Genomic DNA, 21,720 nt, shown 5'->3' on the forward strand with positions numbered 1-21,720 from the left:
CCTGGGCTCAAGTGATCTTCCCACCCTGGCTTCCCAAAGTGCTGGGATTACAGGTGTGAGCCACCACACCTGACCCCACCCCATGAAGTTTTAATATCACAAATATAAAGTATGTAATATACGTCTGTACAAACTCTGTATATATATCTGTGTTTTATACATAAAGAGTAAGATGGTTTTTTTGCTTCCCAAGATCAATTTTCACCTCTTGGGGGTCCTACTGAAGTACTGGGGGTTGGGGCTTCAACAACATTCTTAACAATATTGAGAATGCATAATTTTATCTCATCGTGTGTGTGTGTGTGTGTGTGTGTGTGAGAGACAGCATCTCACTCTGTCACCCAGGCTGGAGTGCAGTGGCACAATCTCGGCTCACTGCAACCTCTGCCTCCCGGGCTCCAGCAGTCCTCCCACCTCAGCCTCCCAAGCAGCTGGGACTAAACTATAGGCCTATGACACCATGCCCAGGTTTTTTGTTTTTTGCAGAGACTGGGTTTTGCCATGTTGCCCAGGCTGGTCTCGCACACCTTGGCTCAAGCAATCCGCCTGCTTCACCCTCCCAAATTGTTAGGATTACAGGCATGAGCCACCACACCTGGCCTTCATCCCTTTTTAACACGTAGGGAAATGGAAACCCAGGGAAGTGTGGGGACTTGATCAAGGCCATACAGCAAGTTAAAGGCAAAGCCAGGATTCAGACACAGACTTGTTCATTCATTCGTTCATTCATTCATTAAACATGTATCAAATGTCTGCTATGTACCAAACACTGTTACAGGTTCCAGGATCTAACAGGGAACAAAGATAAAATCCCTTGCCTTGGGGAATTTATATAATTGTCCAGGGATACAGATATTTCCCCTATACCTCCATGGCTGCTCAGTCAGGATTTTTCAGACTGTTACACAGATGTTGTAACATTGTTCTTTGAAAAAAAAAATCATGTGCTTTAGTTTTGGGTATTGTTGGTGTCCACACTGCAGGACTTCTCAGTGCCTACAATAGTTTAACATGTATTGTGAATCTCTGGAAGGGAGAATAGAATATTCAGAGTTTTCCAAATTTATTTGACCACAGAACAATTATGAACTTGTTCTTTCCCTTCTGTGGAGCACCTTGCATTATGAGTGGCCTGTGGAACATAAGGTAGGAAATGCTAGAGTTAGCTAGGATAGCCACTCACAGCCTAGTATGAATTAGTTTCCAAACGAGCTTTATGAAATGGACTGTGGAAGTTGTAAGTGTTGCTGTAGGGGCAGGGGTACTGTCCAGGAAGGGGTTCCATGGTCAGTCCTAGGGAAATGGGATTAGGAAGACATAGGGGTGAGGACAATTTAGAGAGGCCCATGAAGTCAATCTCTGTGGACTCTGAGGCCCAGAATGAGGGCTGGGCCTGGCTACCATCTTCCAGCTAGAAGTTTCCTCACTCAGAGCCCCTGAGGCCCTAGAAGGCACTGGATGTAGAGGGCTCTGCTGCACCTACCACAGAGAGGCCACTGTTTGACTTTGACAGGAAGACTGAGTTGGCACCAGCCTCCAGAAGAGGCCATCATGGGTTTGGGTTTGCATCCTGGGTTTACCAGCATGTAACCCCAGTTTCCTCATCTTTTAATGGAGAAATTCTCATCTCCTTGCTTGCAAAAAGTTAAATGATATATTATATATATGCCTGTGCCCAGGGTACACACAAAGAACTTGGTAAGCTCTCAGTAAAGGTTGATGGAAATTGTTAGTATCATTCTTAATATTGTTATTAGTATTATTATACATTTCTCGGTCCCTTTGCTTTGACCTCCTCCCTTATCTCCACCCAAAACCCTTTACCCAAGCATACCTTTCTCAGAATAATGATGATAATAATATCGATGATACATATTGTGTTTATCCCTTTCACATGTGATATAATTTAAACCTCACAGGGCCGGGCCTGGTGGCTCACGCCTGTAATCCCAGCACTTTGGGAGGCCGACGCGGGTGGATCACGAGGTCAGGAGATCGAGACCATCCTGGCTAACACGGTGAAACCCCGTCTCTACTAAAAATACAAAAAAATTAGCCGGGTGTGGTGGCGGGCACCTGTAGTCCCAGCTACTCGGGAGGCTGAGGCAGGAGAATGGCATGAAGCCTGGAGGTGGAGCTTGCAATGAGCCGAGATTGCACCACTGCACTCCAGCCTGGGGGACAGAGCGAGACTCCATCTCAAAAAAAACCAAAAAACAAAAAAACAAAAAAACCTCACAGTAACTTCTTTATGCAATTATTGTCTATTTAAAGCAGAGACGTGAGGCTCAGAGGCTCTGAGAGTTCAAGCAACTTGCCTGAGACCACCCAGCCTGCAGGACCATTGAGCCCACCGTAGGTTGTGCAAGGTTTTGGGGGGTGGATGAAAGAGATAATGGGCACAAATAAAATGTATAAACAATAAGTTGCTGGGTTCATGTCCTCCCTTTAAAGAGTTAAACAAGGGGCTGGGTGTGGTGGCTCGTGCCTGTAATCCCAGCACTTTGGGAGGCCGAGGCAGGCGGAACACGAGGTCAGGAGTTTGAGATCAGCCTGATCAACATGGTGAAACCCCGACTCTACTAAAAATACGAAAATTAGCCAGGTGTGGTGGTGTGTACCTGTAATCCCAGCTCCTCGGGAGGCTAAGGCAGGAGAATCGCTTGAACCTGGGAGGCAGAGGTTACAGTGAGCCGAGATGGTGCCACTACACTCCAGCCTGGGTGACAGAGCAAGGCTCCATCTCAGGAGAAAAAAAAAAAAAAGCCCTTCACACTTTAGTATTAACAACTATAGAGTTTCTTATAGGAAAGCCTCAGGTCCTTGGGCAAAGCGGGCCATACTTGCTGCAGGAAGGAAGGAAGGAAGGAGTGGAGGAAGGAGGGAGGGAAAAAGGGAGGAAGGAATGAGGGAGGAAAGGAAGGGAGGGAGAGAGAGAGGAAGGAGGGAAAGAAGGAAGGAAGGAAGGAAATTGAAATTTGGTGGTGATCATTTTAGGAGCCACCCCAGTTAGAGCCAGGAGTAAGGCTGGCAACCATAAAAAATGGGAGCCCAAATGTGAGCTGATGCTAGAGCAACAGACAATAAAGAGACAATTTGTCAGGGGCGATCTTGAGAGGGGAGATAACAGAGCATGAAATTATTTTTCATGTCTTGCCAGGGGACCAATTTTCTTAGGTTATGAAAGAAAGAGAGCTTAAATTATTGATGCTATTTGGTCAGAAGTGAGTGGTAGGCATGGAACACCCATCACCTGGAACAATGCACACAGCCGACAGGACTGAACACAGGGTCCAGGGCTGTGGATCCCAAACCAGCAACCTCTTTGCCCAGAGAGGGAAGGGGACTTGTTCAAGACCACACAGTAGGCACTATCCATGTTGCTCCTTGCAGCCTGTTCCCTAGGTGCTCACACCTGTGAGTAGGTGATACAGCACAGAAGAAAAGACACCGGGTGTTGCACACACCTGGGTGTGAATCCTGGATCCTGTGTTTACCAGGTAAGGTGATCTTCAGTGAGCTGCTTTGCCCCACTGAGCCTCAGTTTCCTCGCCTCTTAAAGAGGAAGGCTGTTATGAGGGTTCGAGGAGTTGATACCTGGAAAAATGCTTTGAAAATAATCCACAATGTGAGCCTTCTCTTTTTTTCTTTTTTGAGACTGGGTCTTGCTCTGTCACAAAGACTGGAGTGCAGGAGCAATCACAGCTCACTGCAGCCTCTACCTCCTCGGCTCAAGTGATCCTCCCACCTCAGCCCCCTGAGTAGCTGGGCCATGCCTGGGTAATTTTTAAACTCTTTTTGTAGAGATAGGTCTCACTATATTTCCCAGGCTGATCTCAAACTCTCGGGCTCAAGTGATCTGCCCATTCTGGCTTCCAAAAGTGCTGGGATTACAGGCTTGAGCCACCGTGCCCGCCTCTCTTTCTTTCTTTAAAAAAAAAAAAAGATTTATTTTAAAAATTGTATTTTTTTTTTTTTAAACTTAGTTTTGCTCTTGTTGCCCGGGCTGGAGTGCAATGGCGTGATCAATCATAAGTCACTGCAACCTCTGCCTCCCGGGTTCAAACGATTCTCCTGCCTCAGCCTCCCGAGTAGCTAGCATTACAGGCATGTGCCACCACACCCAACTAATTTTGTATTTTTAGTAGAGATGAGGTTTCACCATGTTGGTCAGGCTGGTCTTGAACTTCAGACCTCAGGTGATCCGCCCGCCTCGGCCCCCCAAAGTGCTGGGATTACAGGCGTGAGCCACCGCACCTGGCCAAAAAATTGTATTTTTAATTGACATATAACAATTATATACATACATAGGGTACAATGTGATGTTTTGATATGTGTTTACAATGTGGAATGATTAAACTGGGCTAATTAACAAATTCATCACCTCACATACTTATTTTTTTGTGATGAACACATTTAAAATCTACGCTTAGCAATTTTGAAATATACAATGCACTAGTATTTATTATAGTCACCATGCTGTGCAACAGATCACTAGAGTTTATTTCTCCTGTTTAACTGAAACTTTGCACCCTCTGATCGATGTCTCCCCTTTCTCCCCTTTCCCCCTCCACCCCCTCCTCCAGCTTCTGGTAACCACCGTTCCACTCTCTACTTTGATGAGTTCAACTTCTTTAGATTCCACATATGAGTGAGATCATACGGTATTTGTCTTCTGTGCCTGCCTTATTTCACTTAGCATAATGTCCTCCAGGTTTATCCATGCTGTCACCAATGGCAGGATTAACCTCCTTTTTCTTTCTTCCTTTTTTTTTTTGAGATGGACTCTCTCTCTGTTGCCCAGGCTGGAGTGCAGTGGCTTGATCCCGGCTCACTGCAACCGCCACCACCTGGGTTCAAGCGATTCTCCTGCCTCAGCCTCCCGCGTAGCTGGGATTACAGACACTTGCCACCACGCCTGGCTAATTTTTGTATTTTTAGTAGAGACAGGGCTTTGTTACATTGGGCAGGCTGGTCTTGAACTCCTGACCTCAGGTGACCTGCCCACCTTGGCTTCCCAATAACCTCCTTTTTTAGCCATTGTGCATATAGACACCACATTTAAAAAATCCATTCATCTGTTGATGGACAGATGAATGGACTGTAGATTGATTCCTGTCTTGGCTATTGTGAATAGTGCTGCAATGAACATGGGGGTGCAGGCATCTCGTCAGCATACTGACTTCAATTCCTTTGGATAGATATCCAGCAGTGGGATTGCTGGATCATATGGCAATTCTATTTTTAGTTTTCTGAGGAACCTCCATCCTGTTCTCCATAACGGCTGCACTAATTTACATTCCCACCAACAGCACATAAGGGTTCCGTTTTCCTACATCCTGGCCCTCACTTCTCTTTTGTCTTTTTGATACTGGCCATTCTAACAGGTGGGAGGAGATATCCCATGGTGGCTTTAGTTTGCATTTTCCTGATGATTCATAATGCCGAGCATGTTTTCATATATATGTTGACCATTTGTATGGCTTCTTTTGAGAAGTGTCTATTTAAGTCCTTTGCCCGAAAAAAAAAAATCTCCCACTAAAGAAAAGACCAGGACCACATGGCTTCACGGTGAAATTCCATCAAACATTTAAAGAAAAACCAATACTTATCCTTCCCAAACTCTTCCAAAATAAAGAAGAAGGAATACTTCCAAGCATATTTTACAGCATTATCCTGAATGCAAAGCCAGACCAGGACACAAGGAAAGATAATTACAGGCCAATATCTCTGATAAGAATAGGTACCAAATACTAGCAAACCAAATTCAACAGCACATTAAAAGGATCATTCATCATGATCAAGTGGGATTTATCCCTGGGACGCGAGGGTGGGTCAACATAGACAAATCAATAAATGTGAGCTGGGCGCGGTGGCTCATGCCTGTAATCCTAGCACTTTGGGAGGCTGAAGCGGGCAGATCACCTGAGATCAGGTGCCATTATTTGAGGTCAGCCTGGCCAACATGGAGAAAATGTTTCTACTAAAAATACAAAACTTAATCGGGCATGGTGGCACATGCCTGTAGTCGCAGCTACTCAGGAGGCTGAGGTGGGAGAATCACTTGAACCCCAGAGGCGGAGGCTGCAGTGAGCCAAGATTGTACCACTGCACTCCAGCCCAGGCGACAGAGTGAGACTCTGTCTCAAAAAAACCCAAAATCAAAAACCAAAACAAAACAAAACAAAGATGTGATCACTACATTAATGAATTAAGGACAAAAACCATAAGATCACCTCAATAGATAGAGAAAAAGCACTTGATAAAATTCAACATATTTTCCTGATAAAAACTCTCAATAAATTAGGCACAGAAGGAACGTACCGCAACACAATAAAGGCCATATATGACAAGCCCATAGCTAACATCATACTCAATAGTGCAAAGCTGAAAGCTTTTCCTTTAAGATCAGGAAGACCACTCTCACGACCTCTAGTCAACATTGCGCTTGAAGTTCTAGCCAGATCAATCAGGTAAGACACACACACACACACACACACACACACACACACACACACACACACACACACACACGTCTTTCTTATTCTTCCCTTTCTCCCTCTCCTGCCCCCTCTACCCCAGTGAAGGAGGAGGAGGTTGCAGTAAGCTGAGATCATGCCACTGCACTCCAGCCTGGGCTACAGAGATTCTGTCTCAAAAAAAAAAAAAAAAAAAAGAAGGTTAATCCTGCCATTGGTGACAACATGGATGAACCTGCAGGACATTATGCTATTATGCTAAGTGACATCAAGACCTGGTTCCTCCTCCTGCCCCTCTACCTGAGCTCTCACTACTGCTCCACTGAGATCCCCAAGAGCAAAGCTGTGACAAAGACTTCAGTGGGAGTCATCAGAGAAAAAGGAACACAACCACCTAGCGTGAAAGGGGGTGAGAAGCTGAAGATCCTACACATCTAGGGTGTGTTTATGAGAGGAAGGGAGGGAGGCAGAGAGGGAGAGAGGGGCGAGAACAAGAGGAAGGGAGTCAGAGGGGAGAGAGAGAGGCCAGAGAAAGAGAGAAAGAGGGAGAGAGAGGAGGTGGGGGGACAGACTGAGAAGAGAGAGAAGAGAAAAATGGAGGGAGAGAGAAGGGAGAGACAGAGGAGAGAGGGAAGAGAGAGAGGGAGAGAGAGGAGAGAGTAGGGGTCAGGGGAGAGAGGGGAGAGAAAGATGGGGAGAGACACAAAGAGAGAGAGGGAGACAGTGGGGAGAGAGGGGAGAGACAGAGAGACAGAGAAAGAAGGAGAGGAGGTGGGGAGAGAGGCAAGAGAAACAGGAGAAAGAGAGAGAGGAGAGTGGAGAGACCAAGGGGAAAGAGAGAGATGGAGAGAGAGAAAAGGAGCACTGGCAAGCTTTTGTTTGTGCTCCCCTGAGAGAGGCCTGTATGGAATGCGTATTCATTATTAACAAGGACAAAAGCAGTGATGATTCCAGTAACAACCACCCTCACCACAGCCATTTGTGGAAAGGAGAGACGGCATCTACTGAGCGCTCTGCTCTGTGCTGGGCACCTGGTGAGGCCCTCACACATCCACAATCTCTGAGTCAGCAGCCACCAGGGGGCTGGCCCCTCACCTCAGCCGGGAGGAAACTGAGCAAGTGAGGCCCCCACCCGGCCTGCGGGTGGTGAATCCCCACCCACCGCTCCTACTTCCTGGGGCCTCTGTTTACCAGTTACTGTAATTAGAAGATTAATAGAGGGGAAATAGGGGAGGGGGTGGAGAGGCCCTTCCTTTTTCTGCTGTGAGTTCCTGGAATCTTCTCTTGACACAAAACATCAGGGAGGCAGGCCTGTGGGTCATGACAGGTTCCTCCCCACTGGAGGGAGGTGGCCTTCTGCTATTTTATCCTCCCCGGACCTTTAGCAGCTTCTGGGTGGACCCTCAGTTTTAGATTAAACAATCACCCTTCCTCTTCTCTGACTCAAGTCACTGAATGGGGTTGACCCATCTTGATTCCAAAAGGGAGGACATAACCCAGGTTTGGCCAATAATAGTCATCGTGATTGGGTTCAGGATGGACGAGCACGTGATCCAATTTGAGCCAGTGAGAATCGGCTCTAAAACTCTGGTTGGATCAATTCAGAAAGAACAGCTCTCTTTGAGCAGAGCTTAAGAAGCTCATAGGATGTAATTTTGGACCTTGCCATCAAAGCCACCCTGCAAACAAAACTGGTGCAGGAGAAAGCCGAGGCTGGAGATGGTGAGAATGAGCTCAAGCATCTTGTTATTGCAAACACCCCATTTGCTTTTTTTTTTTTTTTGACAGAGTCTCACTCTATCACCCAGACTGGAGTGCAATGGTGTGATCTCAGTTCACTGCAACGTCTGCCTGCTGGGTTCAAGTGATTCTCCTGCCTCAGCCTCCCGAGTAGCCAGGATTACAAGCGTGCACCATCACATCTGGCTAATATTTGTACGTTTAGTAGCAATGGGGTTTCACTGTGTTGCCCAGGCTGGTCTCGAACTCGTGACCTCAGGTGATCTGCCCACCTCGGCCTCCCAAAGTGTTGGGATTATAGGCGTGAGCCACCATGCCCCACTCCCATTCGCTTTTTATCACAGGAGCCAAAGAACACTCTCTCCCTGGTTTGCGTTTTTTTTTTTTTTTTTTTTTTGGTTCTACCAAGACATTTTAAGATGAGTTTCTGTCATTTCCATTTGAAAAAGTCCTGACTAGTTTACTCCCCCGAACCAACCAGAAGACACAAAGCAGAGCTCACCTTCCTGGAAATGGGCCCTTTACCCCCTCTTTTTTTTTTTCTCCTCTAGTTTGGAAATTCTTTCTCTCCACTTCTGCCTGTCCCAGGCTTCATTGGCCATGATCGTCCTCCATTGCTGGGTCTCAGTCTCCTCCTCCCTCCATAAATCTCCCCCTTTCTCAGATGAAAAGACCAACACTGAAAAGGCAAGTTGATGTGCTCCGGTTTGCACAGAGCCCTGGAAGCAGAGCTGGGATTTGAATTCTGGGCTCCTGATTCTCTGTCCAGGGCTCTTCATTCTGGCAGAGCAGGAGATCAATTTCTTCTCTTTCTTTTTTTTTAAATGAAGCTTTTATACATAGCTATCCACATATGTACAAGCAGCTCTTAAGGCCAGAGAAGTTAATTCCAAATTTTAGAGCTGTGGAGGCTCTACAGATTATATGGAGTTTCAGCTAGTGATTAAATCTGAGGTAACAGCATCTGGAGGCTCAGCCTTAGCACTGAGGGGAGTTGGAGGGAAAAATTAAGCCAAGAGTAAAATCTTCCCGTTCTGAAAATAATAGTGGCATAACACAATACTCCTGGACTGTGGGAAATAAAATGGAGAGGGACATGATTAGAAGGAAACTTCTAGAATTCTACTAATTCCACGTTCCTCAAATTGGTACAACTGGTGACAATCTCAGAGTCACCTGTCATCGCATCAAAGTTTGACAGAGAAGGATGACCCACAGGAGCAGCCTTGCTGTGCTTGAGGATTGTTTGACACTTGAAATGAGCTTCGGATCAGTTCTTGGCTGAAGTCCACCTAGGCCCCTTTCGCGAAGGCTAAGCTATCAGAGTCAACCACCACTCTTGCCCCACCCTGTTCAAATACCGTCGTCGGGGTTGATAACTGTATCCAGTGAACATCTGTACTGGAATCCGGAGCATCTACCTCCCTCCACCTGCAGCCTGAGGAATTCTGATCCTTTGGTGATTTCCAGAAGCCTCTGGACGCAGCTGTCCGTGAGGCGGATCTGCCCGTCGCCGGCCTCGGGGCTGGACGACACGCCCGGAGTCCCAGGGAGGCCGCGAGGAGCCTGCCCCTCGGCCAGGAAGTGACCGCTGTCTGCGTCGCGGCCCTTAAGGACAACCCCTGGGCGGCAACCATCTTCCTCCACCCAGGAGATCAATTTCTTTGTTGAGGTTCCACCTAAGGCTGTAGCACTCACTCACTGAGGTTCCTAAGAAACCTGCCTGTCCTAGGAAACCTCCTACTGAGACCTGCCCCGCACTGCCACCTGGTGGTAAGATATAAAAACACACCCTCCACGGTGGGATCAGATTGCGCGCCTGCTCCGCCCCCACCCCGCCCTCTCCCCGGTGGTGGGGTAGAGGGATGGTGGAAAGGGAACCAAGAGCTAGTTCCCAGAAGTGTAGGTATCTGGGATTGAGATTGGAGTGGGGCTACACCTCCTTCTCTGTTTTCAGTACCAGCCATAGCTCTGTCACTGTGCCTCTAGTTTCTTTCCTCTTTGCAGACATTGGCCACTTGTGAAACTAATTGTATTCCCTCTTTGCATTGTCTTCCAGGACACCTGGAACCAGCGTACAGTTCACTGTTAGCAACTGGATAGAATCGCATGGCAGGAATTTAGAAGAGGAGCTTAATCTCTGAGTCCACATTCCTTCCCCTGGGCCTCATTTTCCTACCTTATTTTATATTTAGTTTTCTGATGATGTTCAGGACATCCTTCCAGCCACCTTAACTCTCCTCTTTGTAAGGGACAGGAGGGACAAAGCAAGGTTATACATTCAGAAAGAGCTTGCCTACCTTCTGCAAGTCTCAGTTTCCTCCCCTATAAAGTGGGCACAAGAATCCCTGCCTTGGAGGGTTTTGTGTGTGTTTCAGGAGATGCTGGATTAATATTAGTGTCCACCCTATTTCCCACCTCCCCATCCTCCAGGCTCTCTGCCAGTTATGTGATGCAGGCTAGGATGCAAAGGAGATCAACAGCACAGATCACTTTTTCCCCAGTGCCATTTGTGCTCTGCAGGCCCAGTGGGTGCCCCTACTAGAGCCTTGTACCCTGAGCCCAGTCCCTACCTGCCTTCTGGAAGATGTTGGCTCCAGAATTCTCTGCCTCCCTCCTGCAGGCATTGTGGCATTCACAGCTGATTTGCAGAGAGCCCAGATGCATCTCATAAATAAGGAATGTACTGTTCTGCAGGACGGCTGTGGCGTGGCTGTGTGGGGGTGGGCAGGCTGGAGTAGACAGGAACCACGAGAGGCAGGGAGGACTGTACAGGGGTTGCTGACCAGGTGGAAGATGATGGGAGCCTCAGAAGGTGTCGTGGGACAGGGTCAGGGAGAGGGCTCTATGCGGCCAGGATCTGGATGCAGATTGTTGAGACTGAAATTTGGCTCAGATCCCTTCTAGTTGTGTCTGTTTATCTTCAGTTTCCTTGTCTATAAAATGGGGAGAGATTGTGTGTCCCCGGCATCACTGGACTGTTAATAGCTATTGCATTTATAGCATTTATCCCAGAACCTGAAACACAGTAAATGCTCAGTAAGTGTTATTATTTGCCCCAAACTGTCTTAGTGCTTTCCCCAAGAGCTTTGTGTTGTTTGTACTATGAGGAATAATGAGGGTGGTGTGGGAGTCGGCCTCTGTGTCTGCAGAGAGGACCACAGGCCACAGGAATAGAGACAGGTAGATAGGATCAAGGTGACAGGAACAGATGTTCAGAGCAAGAGATGAAGACGGCATCATCAACCCAGACAAGCCAGGTAAGTCCCTGAAAGGGGACTGCATTTCTGCAGCCCTTTCAAGGTGGGCACTTGAGACATTTGATTGGCTTTTAAAGGAAAGACTGACCTTTAGAAGGCATAAGCAGCTGGGGTCCCTGGAGACCCTGGGATGACACCGTCAGCATGGCTGTATTGAAACGGAGACCTCAGGCAAGCCACCTTTCTTCTCTGGGTCTCTGTTCCATCTATAAAGTGCTTTCTGAGAAGCCCTCCAGAACCGCAGCATTGGAAGCTTCAAGATTTAGTCATTCTTCTGGCAAACATATGTGGAAGGCCTCCGGGGTAGCACACCCTTCACCGTGCCCTGGAGATGCTGGGATGCGACAAAAAAGTAGGCTTCTCCCATGATGAACCTCACGGGTTAGTTGTGGGGGCGGCGGGGACGTGGGGGGTGGAGAGAGAGAGAGAGAGAGAGAGAGAGAGAGAGAGAGAGAGAGAGAGAGAGATTGTGTACAACAGAAAAGCAAATGGATATGTAATTCTAAACTGAAATCAGCCCCAGAAGGAGCGGGGCCCCAGTCAATCCAGGGACCTAAAAGTCAGGGAAGGTTCCCTGAAGACCATGAGGCTGGGCTGCTCCTGGAAGTGTGTGCCTGGGGTGGGAGCGTGCTGAATGATGAGGGTGGAACCTTGGGCTGGGGGCCAGCCATGGCAGGGTAAGGCTGCAAGGGAAGGTAAAGGTTGCTCTCCATCTTGAGACCAGAGGGGCTGCGAGCAGGGGAGTGATGAGGTCAGCTTTGCATTTCCAGAATCTTCAGGCTGCTGCAGCAAGGAGAACAGACTGGGGGGAAGCCCAGTAGGGGATGTTGGGGGCCAGGACCATGGTGGTGGTGACTTGGTGGGATGGGAGGGGGAATGACTTGGCGGAATGTTCCAGAGCATCGATGGGGCTTGGAGTGCATTGGGTGTGGGGGCCGTGGGAGAAGGAAGGGTGAGTGTGAAACTGGAGGAAGGGTGTTTTTGTAAAGTCTCCTGCAGAGCTTGTCTTCCCCATCCCAATTCCTTCTAGCCCCATCTCTGGCTCTGTCAGCAGCTGTCCATACAGGAAAAAAGATGAGACTCATCTCCTGTGGCTGAGAGGGGTGGCGGCAGGCGGGCGGGGAGGAGGGAAGGCAGCCGCTGTGCTGGCGGCTGCGGTCTGCACCTTTCTCTCAGCCTCAGCAGAAGCAGTAGCAGAAGCCACTGCAGCAGGGAGAGGATGGCCAGGCTGCAGCACCTGCTGGGGCGACTGGGAGGGCCCGGGAGCAGGTGCAGGGCGTCTGGAGGGGGTCTGTTTGCAGATGGATGAGAGCAACACACACTCTGCCCCGCTTCTCTGTTGTCTGGACACAAAAGGCCAGACAAAGAAGCAGCAGGGATGGAGACACGGCCCTGCACGCACGTAGGCAAGCGCACACGCTGGAGACAAAAGAGAGGCAGAGGCGAGGTGCATGGAGCAGGGAGCCTGGGGGCAGGGGGAGGCTCCCTGCGACCTCAGGCAAGGTCTCCTGGCCTCCTGAGCCTTGCTGTGTGCACCATAAAATACAGATGCTGGGGGAAACCAGTGGTCCCTGGACTTTCATAGTTTGATGGGGTTTTGTTTTTTTTTTTTGTCTTAATGGAAAATGGGTCATAGACTCCATAAAGTAGAGGATACATTTTCAGGTCCTGCCAATGGAGAAAAGACCTGATAATTTTTTTTAAGTGCCGCTAATGTAGTAGAGTATCTACACTGCCCTGAATTATAGTCAAAGCAACAGCATCTGCTCACGCAGAAAGAACAGCAACTGTGTCTGTGGACTGGACTTGATATGTGTGTGCACTGCAGACAGTGTTGGTGTCTGTTTAGCTTCTAAGATCCTTTATAATAACTAACCAGGTATAAGAACTCTAGGTCTTGTGGGGAGTCTCTAATGGCCTTGAGAGAGAAAGAGAGAGAGAGAGTGAGAGGGAGAGAGCGAGAGAGCGAGACAGAGAGAGAGAGAGAGAGAGAGACTACCAGGCTGAAGTCAAATCACTTGCATGAGGCCCAAAAACTGGGAGCAGGAACCACAGAATATTCACAGGAAGGAGGAAAAAATTCAGAAAAATAATAGTTCAAAGTCATATTTCATACTAATGTGAGAGAGAGAGAGAGCATTTACTGAGCAATGTGACAGGGCCATGTGTTTTCTGCACTCAGACCACTTAGTTCTTTCAAAAGCCCTGCAAGTGAGGTTATGTAATCTCCGTTTTACAGAAGAGGAAACTGAAGCCCAGAGGGTTGAAGTTCCCTACCCAAAGTCACATGGTGGGTAAGGGGCAAGGGTGGGATTCAAATTTAGTTCTGTCTGACTCCTGAGTCCATGTATTCACTGCCCGCCCTGGCTGGGAGGAAGGCAGAGAAAGGAAACAAGACAGAGTGTCAGGTGGCAAAGAGCCTGGCAGTCCCTGGTGGATTCCTCCCCACTATTCCTGCAGACTGAAGGAGACCAGGCCCCGGGTGCTGCCCATCACTTCTCAAACCCTGTTTCCTTGTGTGCCCAAGGCAGACAACAGTGCCCAGCTCATGGGAGCTGTTGTGTCAATTGGATGAGGGCACATGCTTGGTCTGTGCAAGGGGCAGCCTGGAGGTGGCAAGAAGTTGATGTCCAGGGATCATCCTTCAACCATAAGAGATAAAAGCAGGTGGAGGGCAGGGCACAGTGGCTCACGCCTGTAATCCCAGCACTTTGGGACACTGAGGCGGGTGGATCACGAGGTCAAGAGATTGAGACTATCCTGGCCAACATGGTGAAACCCCGTCTCTACTAAAAATACAAAAATTAGCTGGGTGTGGTGGCATGCGCCTGTAGTCCCAGCTACTCGGGAGGCTGAGGCAGCAGAATTGCTTGAACCTGGGAGGCAGAGCTTGTAGTGAGCCGAGATCATGCCACTGCATTCCAGCCTGGCAACAGAGCGAGACTCCGTCTCAAAAAAAAAAGTGAGTGGAGGAGTTCCACGACATCCTCGACCTGGGGTAGGACATGTCGGGTGTGTCCGACAGTCTCCCAGAAGACCTCAGCAGGACTGAGTTCTAGTCGCTAACAACTTGCTCATAGTTATGGAGTAAATTGTGCTCTCTCCACTCAAATTCTTATGTTGAATTCTTAACCCCCAATGTGACTACATTGGAAGATAGGGCCTCTAAAGAAGTAATTAAGGTAGAATGAGGTAGAAAGGGTGAGACCCTAATCTGACAGGACCAATGTCCTTATGAGAAGAGGGAGAGACACCCGGGTTGTGTGTGCACAGAGAAAAGACCACATGAGGACACAGTGAGAAGCTGCCATCTGTGAATCGAGGAGAGAGGCCTCAGGAGAAGTTGACCCTGCTTCTACCTTGGTCTTGGACTTCCAGCCTCCTTAAGTTGTTTGTTAAGACACCCCAGTCTATGGTATTTTGTTATGACTGTCCTTGCTGACAAGTATCCTCTTTAATGTACCTATTCCAGATTTCTCCTCTTCCCTGTCTCCCTAACCTGCTCCCTTACCAAGGCTTCCTGGTACCAATACCTCCTAAATAAACAACTTGCATTTGAATCCGTGTCTCAGGATCTGTATCTGGGGTGATCCAGGCTTATAATCCCCATTTATCCTTTATCTAGAGAGACTGCTGACTTTCACACATTTAGGCGCCACTGGGGGCAGGACAGAGATAAGATTTTGGAGACCACTGAGCTCTAGTTGACCATGGCATTGATCCTGAGCCCATGCCCAGATGAACAGACCCTGGAGTGACCCAAGCATGGCAGTGGGGTCATTGTTCAGCTGGCTGAGGGGTGGTACATCCCTTCCTAGGGGAAAAAAGGATTCAGGATGATGCAGATGGGTTTTCAGAGAGTCTGAGGGCAGCTTCTGGAATCAGACAGCACTGGGTTTCAATCTCAGGTTTACTACACACATTCTAGCTGGCTGACCTCGGATAAGTCACTTTCCCTCTCTAAGCCTCGCTTTCCTTACCAGTTGGAGATGACACCGATACTTCCTTAGAGGGTGCTAAGACAGAGTGTGGGTAAAGCACTTGGAAAGTCTTCTGGCAAGTAAGTGGGCAAGGGGTCAAGTTCATTGCATCTGATGGTGATTACAGGGCCGGGGAGGGGGTGGCAGGGAAATAATTTTGTAGTTTCAGGGAATTGTTGAAAGGCACATTCTTTCTGGGCCATACCAAATGCAGCTCTCCTCTCCTCTGCTCTACAATCACTCACTGCTGAACTCAGGGAGCCCCATGCTCACCACAGGTAAAGATGGCCGCTTTGATGACTCAAATGAGATTTTCTATCTGGGTAAAACCAGGAGCTGTTTGCTCAGGGGACAGCTGTCAGAAAAGAGATCCCCTGATCCCCTGATGGACCAGTCTCCATCAGTAACATGGCTGGAGGGAAGACAAAATTTGGCCTTGCCCAGAGCCCTTCCTCCAAGGGCTACAGGTGTGGCCCGGCAGAGAAGTGGAGCTGGGAACATGGGAGGGTGTATGTGAGGAAGCCCACCTTGCTACTGACTCCATAATCCCTCTGACTAAGGCAAGGTGGGGGAATAGAAAAGGAAACGTGGAACAGAGAGGTACGTACCCAAAAGAACGGAAAAGAAGGATTCAAACAAATACTTGCACATGCCTGTTCATAGCAGCGCTATTCAGATTAGCCAAAGGGTGGAAACAACCCATATGTCCATCAGTGGATGAATGGATGAATAAATTGTGTTCTGTTCATACAATGGAATATTATTCAGTCATAAAAGGAATAAAGTGCTGAGCCATGCTACAATGTGGATGAACCTCAAAAACATTATGCCGAGTGAAAGAAGCCAGCACAAAAGGTCACATATGACAATGGGCTGGAGGGGAAACTGGGAAGTAACCGCTTAAGGGTGTGGGGTGTTATTTTGGGGGTGATGAAAATGTCTTGGAACTAGCTAGACCTGGTGGCAGCATTACATCGTGAATGTACTCAGGGCCACTGAATCATACGCTTTAAATGGTTAGTTTTAGAGGATGCGACTTCCCTTTCTTTTCTGTTTGTTTCTTTCTCTTTTTGAGACAGAGTTTTGCTCTGTTGCCCATGCTGGAGTGCAGTGGTGCAATCAGAGCTCACTGCAGCCTCTAACGCCTAGGCTCAAGTGATCCTCTTTGCTCAGCCGTCCACGTAGCTGGGACCACAGGCACACACTACCATGCCTGGCTAATATTTAAAAGGTCTCTGTAGAGATGCGGTGGAGCCGGGGGTCGATCTCATTATGTTGCCCAGGCTGGTCTTGAGTTCCTGGACTCAAGCGATCTTCCCACCTCAACCTGACAAAGCGTTGGAATTACAGGTGTGAGGCATTGTGCCCGACCTTAGATTATGTGAATTTCCTATCTCTCTCTCTCTTTATTTATTCATTCATTTATTTTTTTTTTGAGACGGAGTCTCACTCTGTCACCCAGGCTGGAGTGCAGTGGGCATGATCTCACCTCACTGCAACCTCCAACTCCCGGGTTCAAGCAATTCTCCTGCCTCAGCCTCCTGAGTAGCTGGGATTACAGGCGCCGCCACCATGACCGGCTAATTTTTGTATTTTTAGTAGAGACGGGGATTTCACCATGCTGGTCAGGCTGGTCTCAAACTCCTGATCTTGTGATCTGCCCCCCTCGGCCTCCCAAAGTGCTAGGATTACAGGCATGAGCCACTGCGCCTGGCCCTCTCTCTCTTTTTTTAAAGAGGCACCCAGTGGGCTGATAACAGAATTGCAATGGGAACCCTGGCCTCCAGAGCCACTCTTGTTTCTCCAAGGGCTGTTCTAGGACTAAAGAGAAGAGAGACTCAGGCTCCCCTTTCCTTGATATGTTGTCAGTGTCAGAATTCTCCTGGAAATCTGGGGTTTCAGAGTGGTATCATGCAGAGCAGGAATACTGACGTGTCTCTTTGGGGTACTCTTATCTTATGGGCTCCTGGGGTCCAAGTTAGCCCTACACATGTTTCCTGGAAGGTGTTTACCATCTCGGGGCTTGCTCTTCCTAGCATATGTCCTAAGTCTACCCACAGGATAAGGTGAGGGTCACAGTTACATTGATGGGGAGGAGAGAAGGATGCCAGCTCTACTTCTCAAACCAAGCATGAACTGCAAAGGATGTCCAACCCTCCGTAGGGAAATGGAAGATGCTAGGGAAGACTTTGCTCACCACAAAGGCACTCAACAGATGGGCAAAATGAGGGCAAAGGACCAGCTGAATCCCCCAGAAGGGCTAGTCTGGTCTACCCCATGATGCAGAAATGTACCATGTTAGAGAACTGGGAGCAGAGGAGGCCACACAGGTATTGGCATCTGCTGAACATGAGGGTCCACTCCTTCCTTGCGTTACTCAGTTCACGGCTTGTCCCGAGTCCATCTGAGTTACAGTCTATTTGCAGTGAGCCACGGTATCCTCTAATGGTCACCCCTTTTGCTCCCCTCCGCCACCTCCCCACTGCTTGCCTTGAAAAGATTTTGTAACAGCGAAACAGCAAAAGAACTAACATAACTAACTCAATTTTTGTTTAAGGGGCCTTTTCCCATTCCTGTACGTAGGCTAGGATAATTTTAGAGCACTGAGATAATATGCAGAAAAAAGCAATCACGTAGTTTTTAAAAACTAACTCTGGGATTAAAGGAGAAGTATGTAAATCATCTATGTTTTGTGAAAGATTTATAAAAGCATTGTGACCTGACCAAGGACAAAGAAGTTCACAACCTTCTTGGACCCTCACTGGTGCCCAGGTGTCAGTGGTAATTGGTCATCTGTTGATCCCAATTCAACCTCCCTTCTCTTCCCCTTTGCTCTGTTGCCCAGGTTGGAGTGTAGTGGTGCGATCTCAGGTCACTGCAACTTCCGCCTCCCAGGTTCAAGTGATTCTCCTGCCTCAGCCTCCTGAGTAGCTGGGATTACAGGTGCACGCTACCATGCCTGGCTAATCTTTGTATTTTTAGTAGAGACAGAGTTTCACCATGCTTGGCCAGACTGGTCTCAAACTCTTGACCTCAGGTGATCCGCCCACCTCGCCTCCCAAAGTGCTGGGATTACAGGCGTGAGCCACCACGGTGAGCCTCTTCCACTTGACTTTAGCATAAAAACAGCATAAAATTTGTACTGACTTAATATGACTTAATATGGTACTTTAGAACAATAAATAGTCCATTAACTTCTTGGTTTTGCTAGCTCTTTAAGTAAACCTGATTTTCCTCCCATCAGCCCTTATCTCTGGTGTCTGGCTTTCAAGCAGTGAGCAGCCAAACCTAAGTTTGATTATAATATCTCTAGAACCAAAGATACTTGGAGATAGGATCATAGATTCACTATTGCTCATCCTTAAGAAGCCCCAGGGTATAGGATGAAGTGTGAAAGTTTGGGGTGAACAGGTGGCTTCATTTTTTTCCAAGTAGATATTGGAAATGATAGACTGACAGTCAGGAGAATTTGGGAATGGATTATAAAACAGGTGGCTTGGGAATACTTAAGAAAGGAAGTGGTGACCTCTATGGATCCCCTGTATTCAGTTAGAATGTGTCATGCCAAATTATATTTCCCTTTTTGTTTGTGTCTAGGGAGACTAGACTGGTGAATTAGGGGGAAGTCGTAGACCTGTGTGATGACAAAAGCTCAGGCAGGAGGATCCCTTGAACCTAAGAGTTCAAGGCTGCAGTGAGCTATGATCCTTGTCACTGCACTCCAGCCTGGGCAACAGGGCAAGACCTTGTCTCAAAACATTTATTTATTTATTTATTTTTAAATTTTTTTTGAGACAGAGTCTCACTTTGTTGCCCAGGCTGGAGTGAGTGGCGTGATCTTGGCTCACTGCAAGCTCCGCCTCCTGGGTTCACGCCATTCTCCTGCCTCAGCCTCCCGAGTAGCTGGGACTACAGGTGCCTACCACCATGCCCGGCTAATTTTTTGTATTTTTTAGTAGAGATGGGGTTTCACCGTATTAGCCAGGATGGTCTCGATCTCCTGACCTCATGATCCGCCCGCCTCGGCCTCCCAAAGTGCTGGGATTACAGGCGTGAGCTGCTGCGCCCGGCCAAAACATTTTTAAAAAAGGACTTTTGTGATTACATTGGTCCCACCCTGATAGTGGGCTGCATACTCTGGGCAATGCTGTGACCACACACTGCCTTGCCTTTTCTCTAACTCTTTCACATGGGTCTTACCACCCTGGCAGGACTGTTAACTCTGTCAGGGTAGGAGGCTGTGTCTAAAGCCTCCTTGGGACTCTCAAGCTTCCTGCAATGGTCTTGGGCTGGGCACATTGGAAATGTTTTATAGGTTTGTTGAATTGGGTTTGTATTTTCTGAAGACCAGGGCTGGTCCCAGCAACAGATGTGTAGTCCAGAGAAAGCTGGGGAAGTTGGAATCTAAAAGGACAGGCTTAAATCTACCTGAGTGCCTTACGGTGTCTGTGGGCAGCTCTCATTGCCTCTCTGAGCCTCTTTATGTGAGCGATGAAGATGATAAACAATATTCACAGAAATGTGACAAAAGAGATGTTGTAGTTTAATAATATAAATATGTCGTGAGCCCTTACTAGGTGCCAGCAACTGTGCTAATCACACTTCCTTCATTTAGCCTGATGATGTGGATTCCATTATTATCTCTACTTTATGGACAAGTAACTGAGGAAGGGTGTGGAGCTTGCCTAAGGTCACATTTGGTCAGAGGCATGGGCAGAACTGAAATGTAAACCCGGAATAGTCTGGTTCTGAAGGTCGCTGGAATGTTCTAGCACAGTGGTTCTCCAGCTTGAGTGTGCATCAGAATTCCTTGGTGGGCTTACTGAAACATAGATGTCTGGGCCTTCCTTTCTTTCCCCAGGGCTCACTGCAGCTGGGACTACAGGCACACACCGCCAGGCCTGGCTAATTTTTTTGTATTTTTTGTGGAAATAAGGTTTCGCTTTGTTGCCCAGGCTGGTCTGGAACTCCTGGGCTCAAGCAAGCTTGTCCCCCAGGCTTCCCAAAGTTCTGGGGTTACAGGCAGGCGTGAGCCACCACACCCAGCCTGAATTGTATTTTTCTTTTCTTTTCTTTTCTTTTTTTTTTTCAGATGGAGTTTCGCTCTTGTTGCCCAGGCTGGAGTGCAATGGTATGATCTCGACTCACCGCAACCTCTGCCTACCCGGTTCAAGCGATTCTCCTGCATCACCCTCCAGAGTAGCTGGTATTACAGGCATGTGCCACCACGCTTGGCTAATTTTGTAGTTTTAGTAGAGACGGGGTTTCTCCATGTTGGTCAGGCTGGTCTCGAACTCCTGACTTCAGGTGATCTGTCTGCCTCGGCCTCCCAAAGTGCTGGGATTACAGGTGTGAGCCAGCCACCGTGCCCGGCCTCTTTTCTTTTTCTTTTTTTTTTTTTTGAGATGGGGTCTGGCTCTTGTCACCCGGGCTAGAGTACAGTGGCGCGACCTCGGCTCACTGCAACCTCCGCCTCCCGGGTTCGAGTGATTCTAGTGCCTCAGCCTCACGAGTAGCTGGGATTACAGGCACCCGCCACCACACCCGGCTAATTTTTTAGTAGAGATGGGGTTTCACCATGTTGGCCAGGCTGGTCTTGAACTCTTGACCTCAGGTGATCCACCCGCCTTGGCCTCCCAAAGTGCTGGGATTACAGGGGTGAGCCGCCGCGCCTGGCCTCGAATTGGATTTCTAACACGTTCTCAAGCAATGTGGATGCTGCAACTCTAGAACCACTACTTCAGGACCACTTCCTAGCATCCCTACTCTAGAAAATAGTAGGTACTAAGAAGAGGGCAGTTAAATAAAAGACTAATCCGGGCGCGGTGGCTCGCGCCTGTAGTCCCAGCTACTCCGAAGGCTGAGGCGGGGGCAGGAGGACTGCTTGAACCCAGGAGTTCGGGGGGGTGCGGTGAGCTATGATTGTGCCGCTGCACTTCAGCCGGGGTGACAGAGTGAGGTCCCATCTCTAAAACAATAAGAATAAATAATAATAAAAAATTCAAGATTAAACCTATAAATGTTGTTAGGCCAAATGCTGTACACGCATGAAGTTAACAGTTATGGGTTCAAATCTGGACTCCACCATAACCATGTGCATAAAGAGGCATACACCCGAGGTCTTCCTGGTTAAGCCCTTGGCGCTATGCCAGAACAAGCGTCTTCTGTCCTCTTACTCCGGGGTTCAGGCTTCTGCGCCCCTGGTCCGCGGTCGCGCGCAGCCCCCGCGCCTCTCCAGCCCTGAGCTCTCTGCGGCCTAAT

At 48.4% G+C, this 21,720-nt stretch overlaps 1 long non-coding RNA gene and 1 pseudogene across 6 annotated transcripts in view, besides 7 other annotated features; one reads left to right on the plus strand and one right to left on the minus strand.

Moving 5' to 3' along the window:
- Positions 6,361–7,225: an enhancer, noted in NCBI's record as "OCT4-NANOG-H3K27ac-H3K4me1 hESC enhancer chr22:27037805-27038669 (GRCh37/hg19 assembly coordinates)". NCBI's record gives its function as "activates a minimal SCP1, AML or CMV promoter by ChIP-STARR-seq in primed H9 embryonic stem cells {active_cell/tissue: H9 hESC(primed)}" and the evidence as "EXISTENCE:reporter gene assay evidence [ECO:0000049][PMID:30033119]".
- Positions 7,405–7,699: a silencer, noted in NCBI's record as "tiled region #8650; K562 Repressive DNase unmatched - State 5:Enh". NCBI's record gives its function as "represses a minimal TATA promoter and a strong SV40 promoter by Sharpr-MPRA in K562 cells {active_cell/tissue: K562}" and the evidence as "EXISTENCE:reporter gene assay evidence [ECO:0000049][PMID:27701403]".
- Positions 7,885–8,179: an enhancer, noted in NCBI's record as "tiled region #12592; HepG2 Activating non-DNase unmatched - State 21:Repr, and K562 Activating DNase matched - State 5:Enh". NCBI's record gives its function as "activates a minimal TATA promoter and a strong SV40 promoter by Sharpr-MPRA in HepG2 and K562 cells {active_cell/tissue: HepG2 | K562}" and the evidence as "EXISTENCE:reporter gene assay evidence [ECO:0000049][PMID:27701403]".
- On the minus strand, positions 9,215–9,866 carry ISCA2P1 (iron-sulfur cluster assembly 2 pseudogene 1; annotated as a pseudogene).
- Positions 9,679–10,244: an enhancer, noted in NCBI's record as "OCT4-NANOG-H3K27ac-H3K4me1 hESC enhancer chr22:27041123-27041688 (GRCh37/hg19 assembly coordinates)". NCBI's record gives its function as "activates a minimal SCP1, AML or CMV promoter by ChIP-STARR-seq in naive H9 embryonic stem cells {active_cell/tissue: H9 hESC(naive)}" and the evidence as "EXISTENCE:reporter gene assay evidence [ECO:0000049][PMID:30033119]".
- Positions 10,043–10,132: a silencer, noted in NCBI's record as "silent region_13575". NCBI's record gives its function as "represses an Ori minimal core promoter by ATAC-STARR-seq in GM12878 lymphoblastoid cells {active_cell/tissue: GM12878}" and the evidence as "EXISTENCE:reporter gene assay evidence [ECO:0000049][PMID:35858748]".
- MIAT (myocardial infarction associated transcript) overlaps positions 10,949–21,720 on the plus strand; it is a 30,050-nt gene continuing 19,278 nt past the window's right edge. For 4 of the 6 annotated variants that reach the window (NR_185984.1, NR_185986.1, NR_185983.1 and 1 more), the window contains exon 1: positions 10,949–11,479. This is a non-coding gene — a long non-coding RNA (myocardial infarction associated transcript). Of the gene's footprint in view, positions 11,480–11,693; positions 11,861–20,551; positions 20,675–21,720 lie in introns of all 6 variants that reach the window. The other 2 variants (NR_185987.1, NR_185985.1) reach the window with 2 other exon arrangements.
- Positions 12,358–13,160: an enhancer, noted in NCBI's record as "NANOG-H3K27ac-H3K4me1 hESC enhancer chr22:27043802-27044604 (GRCh37/hg19 assembly coordinates)". NCBI's record gives its function as "activates a minimal SCP1, AML or CMV promoter by ChIP-STARR-seq in primed H9 embryonic stem cells {active_cell/tissue: H9 hESC(primed)}" and the evidence as "EXISTENCE:reporter gene assay evidence [ECO:0000049][PMID:30033119]".
- Positions 13,964–14,765: an enhancer, noted in NCBI's record as "H3K27ac-H3K4me1 hESC enhancer chr22:27045408-27046209 (GRCh37/hg19 assembly coordinates)". NCBI's record gives its function as "activates a minimal SCP1, AML or CMV promoter by ChIP-STARR-seq in naive H9 embryonic stem cells {active_cell/tissue: H9 hESC(naive)}" and the evidence as "EXISTENCE:reporter gene assay evidence [ECO:0000049][PMID:30033119]".

This window comes from Homo sapiens, chromosome 22, assembly GCF_000001405.40.
Source record: "Homo sapiens chromosome 22, GRCh38.p14 Primary Assembly".
Classification (NCBI taxonomy): Eukaryota; Metazoa; Chordata; class Mammalia; order Primates; family Hominidae; genus Homo; species Homo sapiens.